The sequence below is a fragment of the Homo sapiens genome, chromosome 1, assembly GCF_000001405.40.
Source record: "Homo sapiens chromosome 1, GRCh38.p14 Primary Assembly".
In the NCBI taxonomy this organism is placed as follows: Eukaryota; Metazoa; Chordata; class Mammalia; order Primates; family Hominidae; genus Homo; species Homo sapiens.
This window is the reverse complement of record NC_000001.11, coordinates 201352791-201358913: the sequence shown is the minus strand read 5'-3', so window position 1 is coordinate 201358913 and position 6123 is coordinate 201352791. Positions and strand designations below refer to the sequence as shown.

Genomic DNA, 6123 nt, shown 5'->3' with positions numbered 1-6123 from the left:
CCTGTCTGGTCTCCCTGCTTGCCTCTAGCTGGGGAGAGGGTGGAGGGCCCAGGGTGCAGCCCAGGAGGCAGGAGCAGTGGAAAGGGCTTCAGATCATTGCTCCTGGGAGTCACCAAAACAGCACATGGGAAAAGTGCTGTTGAGGGGGACAGAGTGTTCCCTGCATGAGTCACTCACTGGAGAACAATGCAGGACTCTTCGGATGGTTCCCGTTCTCTTTCTCCTCCTAGCCAGGGCCCTAGGAACCAGGTGTCTGAGGGACAGGGAGCTCTTGAGGAAGGAAGGAAGGCCAGTTTTATTGGGCAGCTATTCAGGCCTGAGTTGTTGAGAGGTGTGGGTTAGTCTGGGTGCCTCAGTTTCCCCCTCCCATGATCTGCACATCCTCGAGGGCTTAAGTCACAGGGTCCTGAGCTGAAGAGGACAGCTTGGTGGCATGGATTTCAGTTGGCAGAAAGACAAGGAAACGATGAGAGGGCACCATCCTCCTCTCCAGAGGAGAGCCTGAGACGACACATTCTCTTGACCCTCCATTCCTTTGTCAGGCGTGGAATTTCCCCCAATTCCTGATTCCTTCCCTTGGCTCCCCACTTGCCATCCATCAGCAAGTGCCTCATGAGCTGTGTCTGGAAAGGCTTCCTGTGGTCTCCCAGCCAGAGCAAATCCATTTCTGCTTGCTAGAGCATGTGCTGTCACAGCTATGCCATCCAATGCCACACTCTGTTAGACGGGTCTCTTCCTGCAGGCGTGGCTCTCATGCTCCCAGGAGACAATGCAGACATGTTATCCTGTGCTGTATGCCAAGCACTGGGATCCATGTAGTGAGAGATGAAGAGGAAATGGTCCTTGGGCCACAGGGAGGGGCTTAGCCTGGGGTCTCGGCCTCATTTCTTATTCATTCATTCGTTCAGTCATTCAAATACCTCCTGAGCACCAACTATGTGCTAGACACTGTGTTGGGTGTGGGGTGCTGTGATTTAAGCCAGCACATCGCTCATGGAGCTCACAGAGCTCACATCCAGCAGCAGGGAGACAGCAAGCAGAGGTCCCAGCCCTGGGTGACAGGGGCGGGTGGGGGGTGCGATGCTGGGGAGAGGCATAGCCACGCACCACACCTGGCCCTGGCAGGTGGGAAGGCTTTCTGGAGGAAAGAGTGTCTAGGCCGAGTACCAGAGGGTGAGGAGGGGGAAGTCAAGGGGAAGAGGTTGGGGGTGGGGCTGGGAACGGCACATAGAAAGTTTGAGAAGCAAGAGCCAGCATGGTGTGTTTGAAGAGATATAGTTATTAGCAGAATCCAAGCATCTTCTGGTGGGGACAAGAAGGCTCCATCATAAATGCCCCCAAAATGGACAGGGAGGCAGGACGCAGGCCTCAGGCCCAAGGAGGGCTGTCACCACGGGCTCTGGGAGACCCACTGGCAGCTCCTGGCACGCACCAGCCCTACTATCTCAGTTTGCCGGATAGGACAGCTGGGGCAGTGCCCTAGCCCCTCTCCCCATAAAGGGGCACTGCACCTCTACCCCCACCTGCCGCCTTGGCTCCACCGCCTATGCCTCAGTGTCTCCTTGGTGCAACAAGAGGTCATGATGGGCCGTGTGTCTGGGGCCCTGTCTCCTGCTCCCCCTCTCCCAGCAGGGTCCTTGTGACCATTTCTCTAGTACAGCGGTCCCCAACCTTTTTGGCACCAAGGACCAGTTTCTTGGAAGACTATTTTTCCATGGACAGGGGTGGGGTGGGGAAGAAAAGTAGGGGTGGGTGGGTGGGGGTGGTTTCAGGATGAAACTATTCCACTTCAGATCGTCAGGCAATAGATTCTCGTAAGGAGTATGCACCCTAGATCCCTCGCATGCACAGTTCACAATAGGTTTCACACTCCTATGAGAATCTAATGCTGCTGGCTGCTGATCTGACAAGAGGTGGAGCTCAGGCCGTCATGCTCGCCCACCCACAGCTCACCTGCTGTGCAGCCTGGTTCATAACAGGCTATAGACTGGTAGAGTCTGGTCCACGGTGCAGAGGTTGGGGACCCCTGCTCTAGTAGATGTGGTCTCTCTTTTAAAAATTGTGCCCAGGCCGAGCGCGGTGGCTCATGCCTGTAATCCCAGCACTTTGCGAGGCCGAGGCAGGCACATCATGAGGTCAGGAGATCAAGGCCATCCTGGGCAACATGGTGAAACCCTGTCTTTACTGCACTCCAGCCTGGCAACAGAACGAGACTCCGTCTCAAAAAAAAAATTAGCTGGGCATGGTGGCGCGTGCCTGTAGTAGGGCTCGGGAGGCTGAGGCAGGGGAATCGCTCAAAAAAAAAAAACAACTGTGCCCAGAGGTGGGCACAGAAGACACCCTTGCCCTCCGACTCTGAAAAGCCCCTAAGACCAGATCCCACTTAATCTCTTTTCTCCTAAGGTCACCTGGTGTTCAGGAAAGAACTTCGGAGTGTCCCAGGCGCTGCCCCCATGGGGGCCTCACCCAGTTGAGGTCCCCATCCCATCATCTTAAGAGGAACACCACAGGTTAACCCAAGCGCTGCCTCTAGGCAGGAGATCTGCAGACACCTGGTCTGCATGGAACCTGGAGCACTAATCCATAAGTGGAGCCTGGGAAGGGGACCTTGTCCTATCCCAGGACAGAGGAGAAAGCAAGTGAGTGTCAGGGTGCAGGGGCACACCTGGTCCATCAGCCCAGTGCAGGGAGTCCTGCCAATTTCAAAAGGCAAGGGTGGGGGCTTCAGACCAAGTGGTCCTGTGCTCTCCCCATAATATTGCTAGGGAACAGAAAGATCATGGATGTGTGCACAGAACACACTGAGATAGCTTCACAGATAGGGCCTCCACACACCCTCCTCAGTTCACCCACCACTTCCATCATTCTTGTGCTTATGATGGTCCTGAACCAAACGTTGAAGGTGCAGCAGTGGCCAAGAGCTGTCCTGGGCCTCCTGACAACTGAGGAGCTGGATGCAGCGGGGTGAGTTGACGCCCACCCAGACACTCTGACCCCCACTGTCCCCACTGTCCCCTGCAGGGACCTCCCTCTATGCCTCTCAGATCCCATCTCACTGTACTTTCGATCCATGACCCATTGCCTCATGGGCCTCTCAGCACCCTGTGTACACCAAATGCTCAGGGAAAATTACTTGCAGGCTCTTCTCAGCCCTGAGTCAGAGGTGAAGACTCTTCCGCCATCCTGTCATCAGATTCGTTCTCCTAACAAGCTCGCATCCTGGGCAGAGCTTGTTCGTGTGATGCCCACTTTAGAGGTAGAGCTGGGAGAGAACAAGGTGTTCCCCCAGGGCTCCTTCGCCTGGGAATCCAGCTCCTCCAGCTGGAGCCCCGATGCTCTGAAGCTAGAGCCTCACTTTCTCCCATCAAACTCTGGCTCTGCCCCTTCCCAGCTCTGGGATTTTGGTCAAATTCCTTGCCTTCTCTGTGCTGAAGTTCCCCTATCTAAACAATGGGGATTGTTATGAAGGCTAAATGAAATAAACATGCAGCAACTAGCACAGTGCTTAGTGCATAGTGTGTAATCAGCACGAGCCACTGCTACTGCCTTTTGGATGAAAACACGTTATTAGCCTTTCTCAAGGGCTCAAGGTCTGCAGAAGAAGAGTTCACCCATGCTGGGTCTGGGCTGGCTCCTCCTTGCCTGTGTGGTTTTAGGGAACCCTTCAATGGCTCCTCTTTCCTCCTGGATTCCACGGCCTGGTCTTCTCCCTCACCAGATAGGCCACCAGGGGTTGGGGGTGGGTGGGATTTGCTGCTACGGACTGTCCCTCCTGGCACGTGGTTCAGCGTGTGCCACTGTCTGGATGGAGGTGCCAGAACTTGTTCCCAGGCCAGGCTCCACTCCCTACTCTGCAGCTTGATTTCTGGGAAAGGTGGGGCAGGGCCTGAGCTTCCAGGGAACCTGCCCTGGTTGGGGGAAATAGCTGGGCTCAGGGATAGGTCTCAGGGCCAGGCTCTCTAATAGGCTCCTGTTGGGTATGGGGCAGGCTGGGGGTGCAGGGGAGACCAGGCTGGACCCCATGTTCCCACAGTGTAGCCACGGGCACTCACTTGCTTCTCTGGGCTTGGCTTCTCCTCTGAAAGTCCAGTCTGCCCTGTCATCCCTACCAGGAGGAAGACTAAGTGTGAATTTGGGGAAAATGCTGCTGATCTGGGTCAGCTCGTCTTCTCCCCCTGCACACATACCCTTCATGTGTTTCTCGCTCTGCGCCCCCCACGCAGGCACTGGGCCAGCTACTTTACATATGTTCTCTCCAGCCAACCATCCACAGTCCCCAGATCACACCGCATGTTGCAGATGAGGAAACTGAGGTACAGAGAGTTTAGGCAACATGCCAAGGGCCATTCAGTTAGTAAGTGGCAAAGCTGGGATTTGAACCCAGGTCTATGTGACGCCAGAGCCAGGATTCTTCCTAACATGTGGATCTTGTAGATTGAGGAGCATCCCAAATCTCCCCAGATTGCAGTGCTTGGGCCAGAATCAGAGCCTCCCGTGGGCTGACTTGGGGTGAGGGCACAGGGCAGGAGTCCAGGAGCTTGACCCTCTCTGCTGCCCTCCAGCTGCCCACCTGGGACCTGACAGGAGGAGATGTGCTATGTCTAGCACATGGAGGCGGCCTCTGGAGGGAACAGTAGAGGTGGGGTTGAGTGGGGCTCTACCCAGGGTGCAAGAGAATCATTGGCCAGCCTCCTCCTTCTTGGGAGTAATTATACCCCATACCTGTGTCCCAGAGTAGTTGGGGGGATCTGTGGGTCATGGAAGCACCTGTCATTACCTTGTCTGTGGGTTACCCCTCGACTCTGCAAAGATAGTGAGTAAACCTCAGGGTGGGCAGAATCCTGGGTCTAGATGCCAGCAGGGCCTATCTGGCTGTTGTTGGGGGTGGCAGAGGTGCTTTAGGGACCCTCTGCAGTCTACCTCCAGCCTTACTTTTCAGCCAAATGGAGCTAGCTACTTTTGTTTCTCCAGCATGTCCTATGCTCTCCCACCTCTGCATGGCTTTTTCTTGCCCTTCTTTCTGTCTCTGCCTATCCAACTGCCCTCCGCCTTCCTCAGGGCCTCGATGAAGTCCCTGTTTCTCCAAGAAGCCTTTGGGACTCCCTCCTGAGCACCTGGGGCTTCCTGAGCACCAGCGATGCCTCTGGTGATGCCTTAAGAGCCGCACATTGAAGGCCCATTCACTCTGGGCCTCCTGTGGTTCACAGAAACCAGGACTGGGTGCCCAGCCCAGACCTCCCTGCCTGGCACTGTTCCCAGGGCTTCAGCCCCACCCACCTGCTCATCCCAGGTTCTCAGCTCCCACCCCAGCATCTACAGGAATTTAAATTGCTCTCAAATGAAGACTCAGGAGAAAAATGTTTCCATACTTGTGCAGAGCGCCCTGACCTGGGGCGGGGGTTGGGGGAAGTAGCCCCAGCTCCGCCCTGTGGCCCTGCCCTCAGTGCTGGCCTTGGCCACACTGGCCACACCTGCAGCACGCCCCAATCCCAAAGCAGTTTTCCCCGTAAAGCCAGGCCTGAGCAATGCAAACCTGAAGAAGCCTGGGGCTAGGCTGGGGCTGCTCTTCAGGAACGCAGTGGGCGGGGTGGGAGAGGTGGTGTGATTCCCAGGCTGAGAGGTGCTGAGATTGTGCTGGGTTTGCTAAATGTGGGACAGGGAGACCTGTTTAGGATGAGCTGCCTCACCCCGTCCTCTCCCCACCCATCCGTACCCTGCCAATTCCCAGAAGATGATGCCAGCTAGGAATGCAGGTTGATGAAGATAAAGGCAGAAGGTCACTTCACTTCTACCTGGGGGCAATAGACAAAGCAGTGTTTCCCTCTGAACTTCACACAGAGACTCCTCTGGCCCCACATCTCCCACCTGTTCAGGCCCAGGTGATGTGGTGAGCAGTGGTTTCTGCTGGGAGACACTTGGCATAATTTGTAAGCCAGCTACATGATAATACTAACAAATGATATTTGCCTCCATATATTAGGCACCTATCGTGTGCCATATACTATGTTACGTAATTTATGTCCACTCTCTAATTACAGTAACATGCAAAATTAGGTCCTATATAATAACTCCATTTTATACACAAGGAAACTGAGGCTCAGAGAAGTTAGGTGACTCATCCAA

The 6123-nt window shown here is 55.0% G+C and overlaps 1 long non-coding RNA gene across 1 annotated transcript, besides 1 other annotated feature; it reads left to right on the top strand.

The window, feature by feature from the left end:
• LOC101929326 (uncharacterized) lies at positions 2252–3499 on the top strand. The gene is made up of 3 exons (XR_241171.4): positions 2252–2639; positions 2903–2964; positions 3140–3499. It is a non-coding gene; the product is annotated as an uncharacterized LOC101929326 (long non-coding RNA).
• Positions 4851–5390: an enhancer, noted in NCBI's record as "H3K4me1 hESC enhancer chr1:201322652-201323191 (GRCh37/hg19 assembly coordinates)". NCBI's record gives its function as "activates a minimal SCP1, AML or CMV promoter by ChIP-STARR-seq in naive H9 embryonic stem cells {active_cell/tissue: H9 hESC(naive)}" and the evidence as "EXISTENCE:reporter gene assay evidence [ECO:0000049][PMID:30033119]".